Source organism: Homo sapiens, chromosome 7 (genome assembly GCF_000001405.40).
Source record: "Homo sapiens chromosome 7, GRCh38.p14 Primary Assembly".
Lineage (NCBI taxonomy): Eukaryota > Metazoa > Chordata > Mammalia > Primates > Hominidae > Homo > Homo sapiens.
Genome location: NC_000007.14, coordinates 71,081,318 through 71,100,392, shown reverse-complemented (window position 1 = coordinate 71,100,392; position 19,075 = coordinate 71,081,318).

Genomic DNA, 19,075 nt, shown 5'->3' with positions numbered 1-19,075 from the left:
AAATCATGTTTTCAGTATTATACATAATAAATCTTTACTTAAACCAAGGTTACAATAATTTCTCTTAGTTTTTTTTTAAGAAGTTTTATAATTTTAGCTCTTACAGTTAGCTGTATAATCCATTTTGAGCCAATTTTTGCATATGACTTGATGTGAAAGTATAAGTTCTTTATTGGTGCATATGAATATCCAATTTTTCCAGTACCATTTGTTGAAAAGATTATCTTTTCCCCCATGGAACTGCCTTGAAACCCTTGTCAAAACCAATTGACCATAAATGTAAGGGTTCATTTCTGATTATTCTATTCTGTTCCATTAACACATATGTCTATCCTTATGCTATTATCACACTGTCATTATTATTTTGTAATAACATTTGAAATCAGCTACTGAAAGTTCTCAAGCCTTCTTCCTCTTGTTCAAAGTTGTTTTGCCTATTCTGACTTTTTTTTACATTTCCATGTAAGTTTTAGTATTAGCTTGTTAATTTTTCCAAAAATTAGAAAAGACTGCTATAATTTTGATAGGTGTTGCATTCACTCTATAGCTCAATTTGAGAGGATTGCTATCTTAACAGTATTGGACTTCCAATACATGAACATAGAATTTCTCTTCATTTATTTAGATTTTTAATTTCTTTCACTGATGTATCTAGGACTGTGTCTCCTCATATTTATAATACTTAGAGTGTGTTGGCCTTCTTGGATGTACAGATTAATGTTTTTCATGAAACCTTTTCAAAAGGTTTGAGCCATTATTTCTTCGAGTATTTTTCCTGCCCTTTTTTCTTATCTGCTTCTAGAACCCCTTTTTGGTGTGCTTAATAGTTTTCCACAGGTCATTGAGCATTGTTTACTCTTCTTTATTCTTTTTTCTCACTTTCCTTTAGATTAGATAATTTCTACTGGTCTATCTTCCAGTTCACCAATTCTTTCTTCTGCCAATTCACATCACAATTTCTTTTGATCCCTTTAATAAATTTTTAAATTTTTGTACTATTCAATTCCACAATTTACATATTTTTATTACTTATTTTTATTTTCTATTTTTAAATTCTTATTGTGACTATCTTTTAATTGATTTTTTTCTTGATGATGAGAAATTTTCATCATACTTTTCCTCAGTATGATGGGTTTCTACTGCTTTCAAGTATTTCCTATTAATACCAATATCTGAAGTTAGTTTCTATTGACTGCTTTGCTTACTGGGTATTGGTCATACTTTTCTGTTTCTTTGCATCCTTTTTGTTATTGCTGTTGTTGAAAGTTAAATATTTTAGGTAATATGTTGCAACTCTGGCTTCTTATTCCCTCCTTCTAGGGTCATTCTTGTTGCTGACTTTGTTTGTTCAGTGATTTGCCTGGGTTACTTTTGTAGACTCTATCTCCCACATGGTGTATAGCTGCTGGAGTGTCTGCCCAGTTTTTTATGTTTTTGCTTGCTTGTTTGCATTTATTTATTTTATTTTTATTTTTATTTTTATTTGAGATGGAGTCTTACTCTGTCGCCAGGCTGGAGTGCACTATCTCAGCTCATTGCAACCTCTGCTTCCTGGGTTCAAGTGATTCTCCTGCCTCAGCCTCCTGAGTAGCTGGGACTACAGGCGCGTGCCACCATGCCTAGCTAATTTTTGTATTTTTAGTAGAGATGGGGTTTCACCACTTTGGCCAGGATGGTCTTGATCTCTTGACCTCATGATCCGCCCACCTCAGCCTCCCAAAGTGCTGGGATTACAGGTGTGAGCCACTGCACCCAGCCGTTTGCATTTATTTTTAAGCCTGCCCTTCTAGGGTCTGACTCTGAGTCAGCTTTGCCTAGTGATAGTCAATGACTGGTCAAAGGTTGTGCTTAAATACCTTTAGCCAGTAAGTCCTTTCACTCTTTACCAGTTTAGAAAACACAAAGTTTAGGCTGTTTCAAACTCAGCTTCAGCCAGGGCCAACTATGGGTAGGCAACCTGTGTGGTCACACAGCGTCCCTTGTTTAGGAAGATCTCATACTTGGTTTAATGCTCTGTTATTGCCATCTCGAAATTCTTACAATAATTTTAACAAGGGGTCCTGCATTTTCATTTTTGCAGTAGGTGCTGCAAATTATGTAGCTGGTCCTGGTCCTACTTTGTACTTTCTACTGGGCCTTCTGTCCTCTCTTCTGCTTGCAGATAATGTAAATGGGGCCCTGTCCAATTTCTCCCGAATGCATGAGCAACTCTGAACATGCATGCAAACTTGCAGATAAGCAGGAATAAATGGGAGCATATCAAGACTATCTCACTATGGCTATCTCATTACCTGGATCTCACACATTTCTGGCTAATGCACCTGTCTGTTGCCTACTTCAACGATAGGCTAGCTGTGATGTTTGCCATCTCAGATTGTTTGCTACCAAGACCATTATTGTTTTCAACAATGTCCCTGGGCATGGGTTTTCCTGCACTCAACAGCAAATCACAACAGCCCCAATTTTAATCCCATGACTTGCCCCAACAGAGCTGGGAAGGGGAGCAAGATGAATGGGAGCATCCCTAGGCTAAAATACCACAGATTCCCACTGATTTTAGCTGAGATCCAGTTGTTTTGAGAGATTCTTGAACATGATGCTACTCTATTCTTTAGGATTCCAGAAACTGACAAAAGACATACAAAAGTATGGAATTCTATACATTGTTATTTTTGACAATTTTGGCTCACTGCAACCTCTGTCTCCCAGGTTCAAGGGATTCTCCTGCCTCAGCCTCCTGAGTAGCTGGGATTACAGGAGTGTGCCACCATGCTCAGCTAATTTTTTTGTATTTTTAGTAGAGACTGAGTTTCATTATATTGGCCAGGCTGGTCCCCCACTCCTGACCTCAAATGATTCACCCTCCTCAGCCTCCCAAAATGCTGGGATTATAGGTGTGAACCACCACGCTCAGCCTATAGTTGTTCTTAAAGAGAGGAATTGTTGATTTTTTTCACTCCACCAATTTGGAAGTCCTGTCTTCAATGTCACCCCAACCTGCAACATATCCACCATGCATTCTTCCTTTCAAAGACTGCATTTTTAAGTTCCAGGAATGACACTGGTTCTTTATATACAATCTATTTATTTGTTGAAATTCTTTATCTTTCATCCTTTTTTGGTCTAGATTTTCTTTCGTTTTGTAAAAACATATCCATAATAGTTCCCCTGCAAATTCTAAAACCTGGGTCATCCATAGATCTGCTTCCATAAGATGTTATTTCTCTGTATTACTGGCACACATTTTCCTGCTTCCTAGCACATCTCTTATTTTGTCATTGCATGTCAAATATTGTGTATAAAAGCACCATAGAGACTGAGGCCAATGTTATTTTCCCCAGACAAGATATCTTCTTTTCTCTGTCAAGAAATTGAGATGCATTGGGATTGGGTTTCAGGTTAAGTTAGTTTTAGTTCTCCTTTGATTTCAAGTATATCAAGGGTGAGACGTCTTTTGTGTTTATTTCAGAGCCCCTGCTTCCAAGGACTGAAAGTTTGCAGGGACTCCTTCTCTGCCTTTCTAGCTGTGAAAATTGATCATGTGAACTGGGCCATCCTTGTCATGTTGAACAAAACCACAGTCCAGAGGCCAGAAGGAAAAGTTACTTGGGGCACATGACACGATCCCAAAAATGTGATTCTTTGCAAGCCTGACTGCTGAAACTGCCTATTGTAATCTGAAACCAGTTTTATCTAACAACAACTGAAACCATCTGCTGCAAATCTAAGACTAGTTTTACCCATTGCAGTCACTCAGCAGTCAGAGCTTGCCAGCTCCCCAAAAAACTCTACTAGTGCCAATGAACTGTCTTTCCAAAAAGTACATAACATTTCTCCTTTTCATAAGACCTCCAACCTTCTCTTTGTTCTTTGGACATATTGAAGGCCATCTGGTCTTTGTGTATGCCCCAAATGGCAATTCTTGCTTCCCAAATAAAATGTTACATTTAGCGATTTATCTCTACATTTTTATTTTGACTTCAACATAACCAAACTCTAGTCTTAATCACAGCCCCAGCATTCAGTAAAAGTCAGGTGAGAGACAACTGGCAGGTAGAAAAAACCAGCTTCCAATTCTTCATGCCAACCCACAAGGTCATTAAAAATCACAGTGGTTCTCTTTTCCTCACAGTGTTTTCTGCCCATTGTCATCCTGAACCTCTGCCTTTGCCCAAACTTGGCAAATTCCACTAGGAAAGAAGCTTGTCAATCTCTGGTTGCCTAGAAAGTTCTCTCTCCCATCTGAAATTTACGCCTTAAAACGTATTTGCACCCACAGATTTGAAGTACGTGAAATATCACATGATCCAGTTATTTTCTAGTCACTATGATCAGAGCAATAATCTGCCAACGCCTTCTATATCTTAACTACAGAGGGACTCAATGTTACCAACTTACAAGGTTTGTGATTTTTTTGCTGTATTTTATTTTTGTTTAAATTTAATTTGAGTATCTCTTTTGGTTTTATAGTTTAAGAACTGTAAGCATAAGGAATTTATGTCCCATTCAATGTATATGATTCAGTAACAAAAAATAATTTCAGCCAATGCTAGAGGTATGAGGGGATTTGTTTTTCCTTTTAAAGGAGATTTTTTATTTAAAATTGAAAAGTGCTTTGCTAGACTAAGCTATCTCTCTATTTACTACTCAAACCTGTCACAAAAATTATTTCAATGTGGTTTTATAATAACATTGGTGCTGGCACACGGGCAAGTTGCTACATCTGACCCAGAGCTGGATTTAGAGAGCTGAAAAATGAAGCTGCCAAGCTGAGACAAAGACATTTCAGTACATTTCTGGAAGATAATTCTTGGTGAGTTTCAGGAATGTGTAACTCAAAGGTGTTTATATCAGTGGGTGACAAGAAAGAAATTCTAGGGAACTGATAGTCTGTACATCAAAGGCTGTGTGGGCCCAATAGCTCCTAGAAATTGAGCGTCATTACCCAGGAGCACTATGCTTTGGAAATTTCCCACCTCCTACCTTCAGGGAGGTTCACAAAGTGAGAGAATTACTTCAATTGGGGCTCCCAAAAACCTCCTAATTATTGTACATGTACCATTAATCTACAGATTCTCACCCCTGTTTACATCCTCAAGTTGTTGCCTTTGGACATTTATTTTTAACAATTTTAACTTGATGTGTTTCATTTTAGGCAACTGGGAGAAGCCCGCTGAAGGCTTTGCCTAGCTCAGCCCTCTCAAGATGGAATTGGAAAATTTGCTGGCCATGATGGCATGCATCTGTAGTCCCAGCTACTCCGGAGGCTGAGGTGGGAGGATCACTGGATCCCAGGAGTTCGAGGCAGCAATAAGCCATGATCACACCACTGCACTCCAGTCTGGAAAACAGAGTGAGACCCTGTCTCAAAATAAATAAATAAACAAACAAATAAATAAATAAATAGAAAGAAAGAAAAAATTAATTAACTTTTTTTTTTTTTTTGAGGCAGAATCTCACTCTGTTGTCCAGGCTGGAGTGCAGTGGCGTGACCTCGGCTCACTGCAAACTCCACCTCCTGGGTTTACGCCATTCTCCTGCCTCAGACTCCCGAGTAGCTGGGACTACAGGCGCCCGCCACCATGCCCAGCTAATTTTTTGTATTTTTAGTAGAGACGGGGTTTCACCGTGTTAGCCAGGATGGTCTTGATCTCCTGACCTCATGATCTGCCTGCCTTGGCCTCCCAAAGTGCTGGGATTGCAGGCGTGAGCCACTGTGCCCGGCCAACGTTATTTTTTTTTAAAGATGGGCTTGGATTTTACATACACGAGGAGGTAGGTTGCAAAACTGCATTCTCTCTGCCTTCCTCCGTCCAAAACTTTCCTTGCTCCAGTTTACCTGGTCTTCATGGAGGGATAGGCCTGTGTAGATCTCGTAGGTTACTCATGCAGTCAGCTCCAAGACACAATCTCAAGGGTATCCCTAGACTCCTGTTTTTCCCCTCACCTTCTCCATCTCTCCCAACCTCAACATCAAATCCATGACAGGTCCTGCCAATTTTATGTCTTTTTTTTCTTTTCTGAAGACAAGGCCTTGCTCTGCTGTCCAGACTGGAGTACAAGGCATGATCACAGCTCAATGTAGCCTCTAATTCCTAGGCTCAAGCAATCCTTCTGCTTTAGCCTCCCAGATAGCCAGGACTATAGGTGTGCACCACCACACCTAGCTAGTTTGACTGATTGATTGATTGATTGATTTTCATTGTTATTTTGTAGAGATGGGATCTCACTTTGTTGCCCAGGCTGATCTTGAGCTCCTGGCTTCAAGCAATCCTCATGGCTCGGTTTCCCAAAGTCCTGGGAATACAGGTGTGAGCCACTGCGCCCAGCCCCAATCTTACATCTTAAGTCTATAAAATTGACTTTCTGTCTCCGTCCCTACCATCACCATCATTCCTCACCTAGAAAATGGCAGCCACCATCTAACTGGCCTATTTGCCTTCTACCTTGTGCCACACCAAGTTGTTTTTCACATAGCAACCATCCTGATCTTTCTAAGAGACAAAATTGAACGTATCTGTCTCTTGCCTATACAGCCATTATTCGTTCTCTGTTCCCTTAGAATAAAGTCCACATACTGGCCCTTCTCCCTCCTGGTCATTTATGATCCATCGTTGCTGCTTCTCCAGCCGTGTAGATCACCTTGCAAGTTCCACTTTAGCAAGAAGAACCGCTGTCTCCCTCAACCTCTGCACGTTGATTCTTGACCTTGCCCTCTGGCTCAGACATCCTCTCTTCCTAAAACGCCCTCACATCCCCTTCCTTAAACTTCTAAGCTTGTCTGCCCTTTAAAACTCAGCTTGAGTGACACCCTACTCAGAAAGCCTTTCCAACCAGCCTCCATGCTGCCCCCAGCCGTCTTCTCTACTCCACTTCACATGCTCAGAGCATCTTTGTCATTTCACCCAATAGCTTGTGTGATTGCTGCTGACAAAGCCTCGGTCTCTTCCATTTAAACTCTGAGCTCCTAGAAAACAGAAGCAATCATATGCGTTTTGTATCCACCTTCCTTTTTTCTTGCCTAGTACAGTGCTGGCACTTCAGTAGGTCCTTGATAAATTAAATGGCTCCAAAAGTGACTAATCAGGCCAGGTGTGGTAGCTCAGGCCTATAGTCCTAGCACTTTGGAGGCTGAGGTGGGAGGATTACTTGAGCCCAGGAATTCGAGACCAGCCTGGGCAGCTAGAAGTCCAAGACCAGTGAGGCATCGTTCTACTAAAAAATTTTTTTTAAATTAGCTGAACATGGTGGGGCAAGCCTGCACTCCCAGCTACGTGGGAGACTGAGGTGGGGGGATCGCTTGAGGCCAGGAGCTGGAGGCTGCAATGAGCTACGACCTCACCACTGCACTCCAGCCTGGGCAACACAGTGAGACCCTGTCTCTAAAACAAAAAGAGTGACTGATCATCAGAATCACATGGGAAGCCTTTTCTAGGTATTCTTTTTTGTAATCAATTTGTATTTTATGTTATTAATATGTAGTCATGCTTGTTTTTATTTTTATTTTATTTTAAAGAGACATGTATGTCTACCTTAAAAGTCTCACAGTGCTAAAATAAAACAGCTTTTTGACCCACAACTTCTTCCACTTCCCACAGAGGTGGTTTCTTCTGGCATTACACATCCCTATTGTTCTAAATAATAGCTACTGCTTTTATTTGGTTCATCTGTTTTAGATACTATCCACTCACTTCCTCTTATGATATATTATGATATACACTTACGATATCTCCTACTATTTGGATGTCATATCTTCTACATTTATCTTTTGTTTGTCTCATTTGTTTTCTTTTTTTGTTTTGTTTTGTAAGCTATTTTTTTTTAACTTTTATTTTAGGTTCAGGGGTACATGTGCAGGTTTATTATATAGACAAACTCCTGCCATGGGGCTTGTTGTGCAGATTATTTCAACACCCAGGTACTAAGCCTAATACCCAATAATTATTTTTTCTGCCCCTCTCCCTCCTCCCAGCCTTTGCCCTCAGGTAGGCCCCAGTGTGTGCTGTTCCCCTCCATGTGTCCATGTGTTCTCATTATTTAGCTCCCATTTATATGTGGTATTTGATTTTCTGTTCCTGCATTAGTTTGCTAAGGATAATGGACTCCTGCTCCATCCATGTCCTTGCAAAGGACATGATCTCATTCTTTTTTATGGCTGCATAGTATTCCATGGTGTATATGTACCACATTTTCTTTATCTAGTCTACTGTTGATAGACATTTAGAGAGTTGATTCCATTTCTTTGCCATTTTGAATAATGCTGCAATGAACATATGTGTGCATGCATCCTTGTGATAAAATGATTCATATTCCTCTGGGTATATAGCCAGGAATGGGATTGCTGGGTTGAACGGTAGTTCTGTTTCCTCTTTGAGGAATCACCACACTGCTTTCCACAATGGCTGAACTAATTTATGCTCCCACCAACAGTGTATAAATGTTTCCTTTCTCCACAACCTCACCAGCACCTGTTATTTTTTGACTTTTTATAATAGCCATTCTGATTGATGTAGATGGTATATTATTGTGGTTTTGATTTGCACTTCTCTAATGATCAATGATACTGAGCTTTTTTTCATATGCTTGTTGGTCGTGTCTACGTCTTCTTTTGAAAAGTGTCTATTCATGTCCTTTGCCCAGTTTTTAACGGGGTTGTTTGGGTTTTTTCTCGTAAATTTAAGTTCTTCATAGATGCTGGATATTAGATCTTTCTCAGATGCACAGTTTGCAAATATTTTTCCCACCTGTAGTTTATCTGTTTACTCTGTTTTTTTGTTTTATTTTGTTTTTTAAATAAAAATCTTTGGTCTTTGCCTTTCATCTCTTTGTCCTTTTGCTCTGCCTTCTGGGTGACTTTTTTCATCTCCTGTCTTCCAAATCTTTTGGATTTTTCATTTCTCCTGTCATATTTTTCATTTCTAAGAGCTCTATTTTTGTTCTCTGAATATTTTTTCTTCTGTTTCTGTTTCACAGATGCAATATTTTCCCCTACCTTTCTAAAAATAACAATGACAAATTGATTTTTTTTACGTTTTTTTTTTCCTCCCTGCTCAGTTTATATGGCTTCAAAATTGCTTTAGTTGGTTTGTTTGCTGCGTGGGTGCCTGTATTCCATGTTAGCAGCATTCTTCAGGTACCTGGCCATCCTCAGATGTCTGTTCAGGACTAAGAGTTGAGAAATGAAATCTTACTAGGCGCACTCAGCATGTGGATGGGACAATGTGACTTTGATTACGAGCTCATCTGTGGATGATGACTCAAGTGTCAGTATCTACAGGCCTCCTCCCTTAAACTGGTCAGATTTGCCATAAAATATATATATCCTCTTAAAAGACTGTTTGGGCTCAGCGCAGTGGCTCATGCCTGTAATCCCAGGCTTTTGGGAGGCCAAGGTGGGAGGATGAATTGAGGTCAGGAGTTTGAGACCAGCCTGGCCAACATGGTGAAACCCCATCTCTACTAAAAATACAAAAAATTATCAGGGCATGATGGCACACCTGTAGTCCCAGCTACTCGAGAGCCGGAGGCAGGAGAATCGCTTGAACCTAGGAGGCAGAGGTTGCAGTGAGCCCAGATCACACCACTGTACTCCAGCCCAGGAGACAGAACGAGACTCCATCTCAAAAAAAAAAAAAAGAAAGAAAAAAAGACTGGAGGGTACAATTCGGCTTTAAGCATTTGGAGGCAGGACTCTGGGAGTCTCAAAATCCAGCATTCAATATGTAACTAATGAGTCTCGTTTCACTGGCCCTGTTTGTCCCCAAAAACTCTCTCCAGAGAATAAATCTCTAATCTTTGGCCAGGATGGAGGAGAAATAGACAGCTAGGGGCCTGGAATCAGGGCAAGGATTGCAGGGATCTAACGTCTCAGTTTTTATCCAATTGTCTTATTCTAGCCACTAGATCCAACCTTCACCTTAGATCCAGAAATACACTTCCTGAGCCTCTTCAGAATTCTGTGGTATAGATCAGAATAAGTCTCAGCTCCACCCACTGGTGGCTTAGGATTTAATTTCACTTGAGCTCCTAAGTCAGTCACTACACATGTATCTGCTTCTATCTTCCAAAATTTTGTTGCTATTTTCTATCGTTTTCCCCATACTTTCGCATCTCTCTCTTTCTCTCGCTCTCTATATATACATGTATTATATATATATATATATATATATATATGTATCTCAGATCTCTTTTCTGCAGTCTTGGTGTAATTTAGGGAAAAAATAAAAACAAATGTGCACACTCAATCCACATTTTAACCCAAGATTCCTGAGCAGCTCTATAAAATGCAATTTTCCCAGACACCGTTACATGAAGTCTATTTGTAGTTTTGTTTTTTGTTTGTTTGTTTTTTGGAGACAGTGTCTCGCTCTGTCACCCAGGCTGGAGTGCAGTGGTAGGATCACAGCTCACTGCAGCCTTGACCTCCCTGGCTCAGGTGATCCTTCTGCCTCAGCCCCCATGAGTAGCTGAGACTACAGACGCACGCCACCACACCCGGCTAATTTTTGTGGAGTTTTTTTTTTTGTAGAGGGGGGTCTCGTCATGTTGTCCAGGCTGGTCTCAAACTCCTGGACTCAAGCAATCCTAGGCCTCTCAAAGTGCTGGGATTACAAGTGTGAGCCACTGCACCTGGCCTGTAATTCTAAAGTGGATCTTGTTTTTCAGTAACTTTTAAATGCTTTCCTCGGAATAATGCTGTTCACGTGAGGACTCAGAACATCCAACTTCCCCTTTCTGATCAAGTGGGACCCTCTCTTAAGAAAACACTCAACCTTTCAATGGAAAAATGTATAGATACATACATTTTAGACAGGGATTGTGTTCTCCTATCCTGGGTTTGGTGGTTTTAGCCAAGGCTGCAATTTCAAAGCAAACCACACATTCTGACACTGATGTTTGGGCGTGTCCTCTTGCAAGGAGATAGTTCCGGTGCTGTCCCAGGGATTCAAGAGTGAAAAATCATTTTCAGAGGGATAAGCTTGTGCCAGTTGACTTATGAATTCATCGTTTTTCCCTCAAGCTTTCAATACGATCTGGAAATTTGGATGGTAAGGCTTGCTGCCTGTAATTAGAAAAAATGCAGGGCATATGTATGTATTTTACAGATACATATATAATATTTATTTTTATATATAAATGCACAAAGTAGCATATATACACATACACACACATATCTATATATGTCTCAGGGACAGCACCACTTAGTAAGATAGTTACTATAGTATACAGATTCCACAGCTCTACAAGGACTATCCTGGGAGCCCAAAACAGTCTTCCTCTTTTTTTTTTTTTTTTTTTTGAAACAGGGTCTCACTCTATCACTCAGGCTGGAGTGCAGTGGTGCGATCACAGCTCATTACAGCCCAGAACTCCCAGCCCTAAGCAATCCTCCCACCTCAGCCTCCTGAGTAGCTGAGACTACAGGCAGGTGCCACCATATCTGGCCTATTTTTATTAATTTTTGTAGAGACTGGGTCTCACTATGTTCAAGGCCAGCCCAGGCTGGTCTTGAACTCCTGATCTCAAGCGATCCTGCTGCCTCACCCCCAAATGCTGAGACTGCAGGCATGAGCCACCACAACCGGCCTCACTTGCCAATGGAGGAAGGTAGAGCAGTAAAGACTGTAAACTTGGGGCCCAGCTACTCTCAGCAGCCAACACAGACACTGATGACTTGTATGACCTTAGGTAAATTACTCAACCTACTTGAAACCAGGTTTCTCCATATTGAAACTGGGGATAATGATACTTACCCTGAAACGTGTTTATCAGGATTAGAATAATGTATTAGTCTGTTTTCACACTGTATAAAGAATGACCTGAGACTAGGTAACGTGTGAAGAAAAGAGGTTTACTTCTCACTTACAGTTTCACAAGCTTAACAGGAAGCATGACTGGGAGGCCTCAAGAAACTTACAATCATGACGGAAGGTGAAGGGGAGGCAAGGATCTTCTTCATATGGTGGGGGACATATGGAGAGGGAGACAGAAAGTGAAGGGGGAAGTGCCACACACTTTTAGACCATCAGATCTCGTGAACTCACTCACTACCACAAGAACACCAAGGGGGAACTCCACCCTCTTGATCCAATCACCTCCCACCCAGCCTCTCATCTAACACTTGGCATTACAATTCTCATTTCAATTCTAATGAGATTTGGGTGGGGACACAGAGCCAAACCATATCAAATGATATATGGAATGTCCTGGCAAATATACTCTAGTGATTTAAGGTATTTGTCCCTGATGTGCGAAATCCTCTATTATAAAAGAAAAACAGAGCTTGTGCCTGGGAAAGGATGGTCTCTGTAATGCTTGTGTGAGTGCAGCTCCAGGACCTGGACAGCTACCAATGCAGGTATTGCCAGGGCAGGTCGTCTTGTCAGGGGTCATGTCCCAGAAAGGAGAGCCAAGCCACATTGCCACCCTCAAGGGCTGCTTTGGCCCAAAACAGGCCTACACAAAGAATGCCCAAGGAAGGAAAAAGACCAGGTCCCGCCTCCTCCTGCCACTCCTTTCGCTGGCCTGGTACCCTGTTGCCTCTGCAGAACAAGCTCCAAGAACACTCACTCCCGCCCTGGCTTTGTCCCCAGTATCCTTCTCCACCCTCCCTGATTGTGTTCTCTCTCTAGTCCTTTTTTTTTCTTTTTTCTTTCTTTTTTTTTGGAGACAGGATCTCACTCTGTCACTCAGGTGGGAGTGCAGTGGTGCAATCACGGCTCACTGCACCCTCAACCTCCTGGGCTCAAGCTATCCTCCTGCCTCAGCTTCCCAGGTAACTGGGACTACAGGTGCATGCCATCACACCTGGCTAATTTTTGTATTTGTTGTAGAGATGGCATCTCACCATGTCGTCCAGGCTGATCTCGAACTCCTGGGCTCAAGCGATTTTCCCGCCTCAGACTCCTGAAGTGCTGGTGATACAGGAGTTAAGAAATTACTTAGGCAGATAGTGAGGGTGCAGAAGTTCTTGGTAACATTTTCCTTTTCATGAAAAGCAGCCCCAAATAATTCTGGTTTTTTTTCCTTTTCTTTTTTTGTTTTTAGATGTAGTTTCGCTCTTGTTGCCCAAGCTGGAGTGCAATGGCATGATCTTGGCTCACTGCAACCTCCGCCTCCCAGGTTCAAGCAATTCTCCTGCCTCAGCCTCCCAAGTAGCTGGGATTACCGGCATGTGCCACCACACCTGGCTAATTTTTGTATTTTTAGTAGAGGCGGGGTGTCTTCATATTGGTCAGGCTGGTCTCGAACTCCCGACCTCAGGTGATCCACCCGCCTCAGCCTCCCAAAGTGCTGGGATTACAGGCGTGAACCATTGCACCCGGCCCCAAATCATTTTCTAACAAACAGCAACCTATACAGTCAAGCTACAGACATAGACGAGCAAGCCAGGCGCTTGCACGGGTAGATGCCGGCAGGAAAGAACTACCTAGGACTAGACATGTTCAAAATGGTGGCTCCATCCTCCCTTCTCCGCCAGCCAAGGGTACAATAAGGAGCTGACAAGATGGCTGCGGCCAAGGGGAGAGTTCATTTGCATAATAAGATTAGGGTGGACCACCAGCCTTCCCCACCTGCTATGTAAATGTCATATCTGATTAACCAATCTGTGACCCCTATGTAAATCAGACACTGCCTCCTCAAGCCTGACTATAAAGTCCCGGCATCCACCAGGCTGGTCTTTCCCTCTGGGAAGTCCCCTCTCTTTCTCACTAGAGAGAGAGCTGTTTTCCCTTCTCTTTCTTTTTTTTCTTTTTTTTTGAGACAGAGTCTCCTCTGTCACCCACGCTGGAGTGCAATGGCACGATCTTGGCTCAGTGCAACCTCCGCCTCCAAGGTTCAAGCAATTCTCCTGACTCAGTCTCCTGAGTAGCTGGGATTACAGGCGTGCCACAATGCCTGGCTAATTTTTGTATTTTTAGTAAAGATGGGGTTTCACCATGTTGGTCAGTCTGGTCTCTAACTCCTGACCTCGTGATCCGCCTGCCTCGGCCTCCCAAAGTGCTGGGATTACAGGTGTGAGCCACCACACCCGGCCTTCCCTTGTCTTCCTTTCTCTTTCTTTTGCCTATTAAACCTCCGCTCCTAAACTCCTAGTGTGTCCTAAATTTTCCTGGCATGAGATAGATGATGAACCCCAGGTATTTACCCCAGACAACATAGCCACTTCACTGGGATTACAGGCGTGAGCCACTGCGCCTGGCCTATATTCCTCTTTTTAATATTAAAGCACACTTGGCCTGATGATGCTTGCTGGTCTGCTGGAGAAGACCCCTCAGCTCCCTGGCCAAAGGATTGACCATTTCATCATTTACTCACTCACTGACTCTCATTCACTCAACAAACATGGATTAAGCATCCACTCTGTGTGAGGTGCTAGGTAGGTGCTGAGATACATTGGTAATCAAGAGATATGTGATTCCCACCTTGGAGAATTGGCAACCTGGCGAGTCATTTGCAGCATTCCCTAGACTTGCTACTCCTCTCGGATTTTCACATTGTGAGTGTATGTTGTTACTTAAAAAAAAAAATGGCTTTGGCCTGACAGTGGCTCACACCTGTAATCCTAGTACTTTGGGAGGCCGAGGTGGGACAATCCATTGAGCCCCGGGGTTTGAGACAAGCCTGGGAAACATCGTTAGAACTTGTCTTTACCCAAAAACATTAAAAATTAGCCAGGCGTGGTGGTGAACACCTGTAGTCCCAGCTACTTGGGAGACTGAGATGGGAGGATTGTTTGAGCCCAGGAGTTTGAGGTTGCAGTGAGCTATGATTACACTGCTGCACTCCAGCCTGGACACCAGAGCAAGACCCTATCAAAAAAAAAAAAAAAAAGAAGAAGATGATTAAATTTAGATTTTTGTGAATGGACAGATGGATGCAATGGATGGATTTTTTTTTTTAAGTCTAAGTCTTCAAAATCTAGTTTGTATTTTACACTTATAGCAGATCTCTAACCAGACAGATTTCATAATATACAGTTTAAAAAGTAGATTCACACACTCAAGTTATTCCAAACATATTCAGTTTCCAAAACTGAAAAGCATCATTTTTAAAAATTTAAATGTAAATTAATATAAACTAAAGAAAAGTAAAAATTCTGTTCCGCAGTTGCACCAGTCATATTTCTTTCTTTTTCTTTATTTTTTGAGATGGCGTTTCACTCTTGTTGCCCAGGCTGGAGTGCAACGATACCATCTCGGCTCACTGCAACCTCCGCCTCCTGGGTTCAAGCGATTCTCCTGCCTCAGTCTCCCAAATAGCTGGGATTACAGGCGCCTGCCACCATGCCCACCTAATTTTTGTGTTTTTAGTAGAGACGGGGTTTCACCATGTTGGCCAGGCTGGTCTTGAACTCCTGACTTCAGGTGATCCACCCTCCTCGGCCTCCCAAAATGCTGGGATTACAGGTGTGAGCCACCGTGCCTGGCCACACCAGCCATATTTCAAGTGCTCAGCAGCCACATGTGGCTGGTGGCCACCTGGTTGGACAGTGCAGCTCTGGAGTGAGCCTCTGACTGGAAAGAGACAGGAAACACTGAAGGCATAATTAATCAATATAACAAGTAAGTCATCAGGCAAATTCAGAATGTAATGTGTTCTATAAGACAGATGGGTCAGACATGGTGGCTCACTTCTACAATCTCAGTACCTTGGGACGCCAGGCGGGAGGATTGCTTAAGGATAGGGGTTTGAGACCAGCCTAGGCAACATAGCGAGACCCCATCTCTATTAAAAAAAAAAAATAAAGAGGTCAGGCACAGTGGCTCATGCCTGTAATCCCAGCACTTTGGGAGGCCGAGGTGGGCAGATCATGAGGTCAGGAGATCGAGACCATCCTGGCTAATACGGTGAAACCCCGTCTCTACTAAAAATACAAAAAAATTAGCCAGGCGTGGTGGCGGGCGCCTGTAATCCCAACTACTCAGGAGGCTGAGGCAGGAGAATGGCGTGAACCTGGGAGGCAGAGCTTGCAGTGAGCTGGGATCATGCCACTGCACTCCAGCCTGGGCGACAGAGTGAGACTCCATCTCAAAAAGTAAAATAAAATAAAATAAAAATAAAGAAATTAGACAGGCATGGTGGTGCACACCTGTAGCCCCAGCTATTCAGAAGTCCATGGTGAGAAGATCACTTGAGCCTGGGAGGTTGAGGTTGAGGTTGCAGTTCATGCCACTGCACTCCAGCCTGGGTGACAGAGCAAGACCCTGTAAGAAAGAAAGAGAGAGAGAAAGAGAGAGGGAGGGAGGGAGGGAGGGAAGGAAGGAGAAAGGAAAAAAGGGAGGGGAGGGGAGGAGGAGGGGAGGGGAGGGTGGGGGACGGAAGGGAAGGGAAGGGAAGGGAAGGGAAGGGAAAGGAAAAGGGAAGGGAAGGGAGAACGAAAGAAGACAGATGAGGTCTTTGGGCTTTTTGAATAACCTGGGCTTTTCAAAAAAAAGAACAAAAAAGTCAGTGCCATGAAAAGTTAAGAGGCAAGGTGAGTAAAAGACTAGAGAGACTTCACAACCAAATGCGATGTGTGATACTTGATAAGATCCTGAATCAGGGAGACAAATAAAACTGGCATCAAAGACATTTTTAAGACAGAGAAATTTGTACTGTATGTTAGATGAATTTATGGAAGTGTTAATTTTCTTAATTGTGACAATATTATGTAGAGAAATGTCATTACTCTTAAGAAATACATGAGGAGGTATTTGTGGGTAAAATGCCACAATGTCTGCAACTCATTTCAAATAGGTAAGGACAAAAGTACGTATGTATGCATGTATGTGTGTGTGTGCACATGTGTTTATGTGTGTATAAAGAGAAAAAGATAATGTGTTATAATGTTAACATTAGATTAAACTAGGTGAAGTTCATGTACTAGTCTTTCAACTTCTCTTTAGTTCTGAAAAGTTTTTAAATTCACAATTTAAAAAGCTATTCTTGGCTTGGTGCATTGGCTCGCACCTGCAATCCCAGCACTATGAGAGGCTGAGACAGGAGGATCACCTGGCTCCAGGAGGCTGAGGCTGCAGTGAGCTGTGACTGCACCACTGAACTCCAGCCTGGACAACAGAAAGAGACCTTATATCTAAAATAAAATTAAATTATTTTTAAAAGCCATTCTCATGAAGATTACATTTTACAGAAGGGAGGCACAATGTTAACCATTGAACAAATGAGTGAACAAAATCATTTTTGCTTATTGCATATTACTAGTGCTCAAACATTTTTCAAAGTCATGTTGACATAGAAAATGTCCGGTAGGTGGGGATGAGACTGCTTTATGTTGAGTGGTCAAGGCAGGTCTCACTAAGGAGGTGGTAGTTGGGTCCTGAGGACAAGAAGGAAACAGCCATGGAAGATCTGAGCACAGAACCTTCTGTGCAAATGGAAGAGCAAACACCCTTAGGAAGAAAAGAATTTGTCTGTTCAGGAAACTGAGTGCAGACTACTGTGTTCAGAACACAGGAGAGAGGAGGGGAGAGGTGGAGGGTGGGTCCCAACTGACAGCTTGGCCAGCTGCCAGAGGACCCAGTAGGAGACGGTAAGGAAATTGGACTTTAAGAGCAATGGGGGACAATTTGGGTAGAGGAGGAACAGGTTGGGGTATGTTGGTGTAGGTCTTTTTTTTTTTTTTTTGAGGCAGGGTCTTGCTCTGTTGCCCAGGCTAAAATGCAGTAGCATGATCATAGCTCACTGCAGCCTCTGTCTCCTGGACTCAAGCAATCCTCTTGGTCAGCCTCCTGAATAGCTGGGACTACAGGTGTGTGTCACCACACCTGGCTAAGTTTTAAAGTTTTTGGAGAGATGGGTTCTCGCTGCATTGCCCAGGCCTCAAGTGATCCTCTTGCCTTGGCTTCCCAATGTGCTGGGATTATAGGCATGAGCCACCTTGCCTGGTCTGTGTATGTATTTAACATCATTCAGAAGGCCGTGTGGAGAATGGTGAAGAAGAGTAACCAAGGAAACTGGTAGACCAGTTGGGAGGCTTTGCAGTGGTCCAGGAGAGATGATGGTGGCTTGTAGCAGGAAGAAGGAATGATGCTGGAGAGAAGGAAATGGCCCAGCAATGTGTCTTGGAGGGAAAACTAAGGGACTTGCTTACAGAGCAAGTTCAGAAGGCAAGGAAATCAGAGGAATGAGGATGACTTCAAAAATTTCACTTAAGCAACAGAGAAGTCTGAAGTTGGGATGGGGGGAAGGAATCCGAAGCTCTTTTAGAGATACCACTTTGATGCACCCCTCAGTCTTTCTTCCGGGTACAGGTGTGGAGCCAGCAGCCAGCCAGCTATAAGAGGAGGGACGTACATTCGGAAGTTGTCAGTGTAGAGGTTGTATTTAAATCCAAGAGCCGGCCAGGTTCAGTGGCTCACCCTGTAATGCTAGCACTTTGGGAGGCCAAGGCGGGTGGATCACTTGAGGCCTGGAGTTCCAGACCAGCCTGGTCAACATGGCGAAACCCTGTTTCTACTAAAAATACAAACACACACACACACACACACACACACACACACACACACACACACACACACACACACACAAATAGCTGGATGTGGTGATGCATGCCTGTAGTCCCAGCTACTTGGGAGACCAAGGCAGGAGAATTGCTTAAACCTGGGAGGTGAAGGCTGCAGTGAGCCGAGATGGCGCCACTACACTCCAGCGTGGGTGACAGAGCGAGACTCAGTCTCAAACAACAAAAAATCCAAGAACTCAGAAAAGATAATAATTTACTAGCTGTCATCCTATTCATGAGCATATTATAGCTCTTTTTTCTGATGTATTAATTATTATGGATAATGCTATGATAAATCTTTTTATATAAACACTTTTATATTTTAGACTGTTCCTTTAGAAAAGATTTCTGAAAAAGAAACTCCTGGCAGGGCGGGGGCGGAATGTGTATAGAGTTTTAAAAATTGTAATTTGGGCCGAGCGTGGTGGCTCATGCCTGTAATCCCAGCACTTTAGGAGACCCAGGTGGGCGGATCACAAGGTCAAGAGATCGAGACCATTCTGGTCAACATGGTGAAACCCCGTCTGTACTAAAAATATAAAAATTAGCTGGGCATGGTGGCGGGTGCCT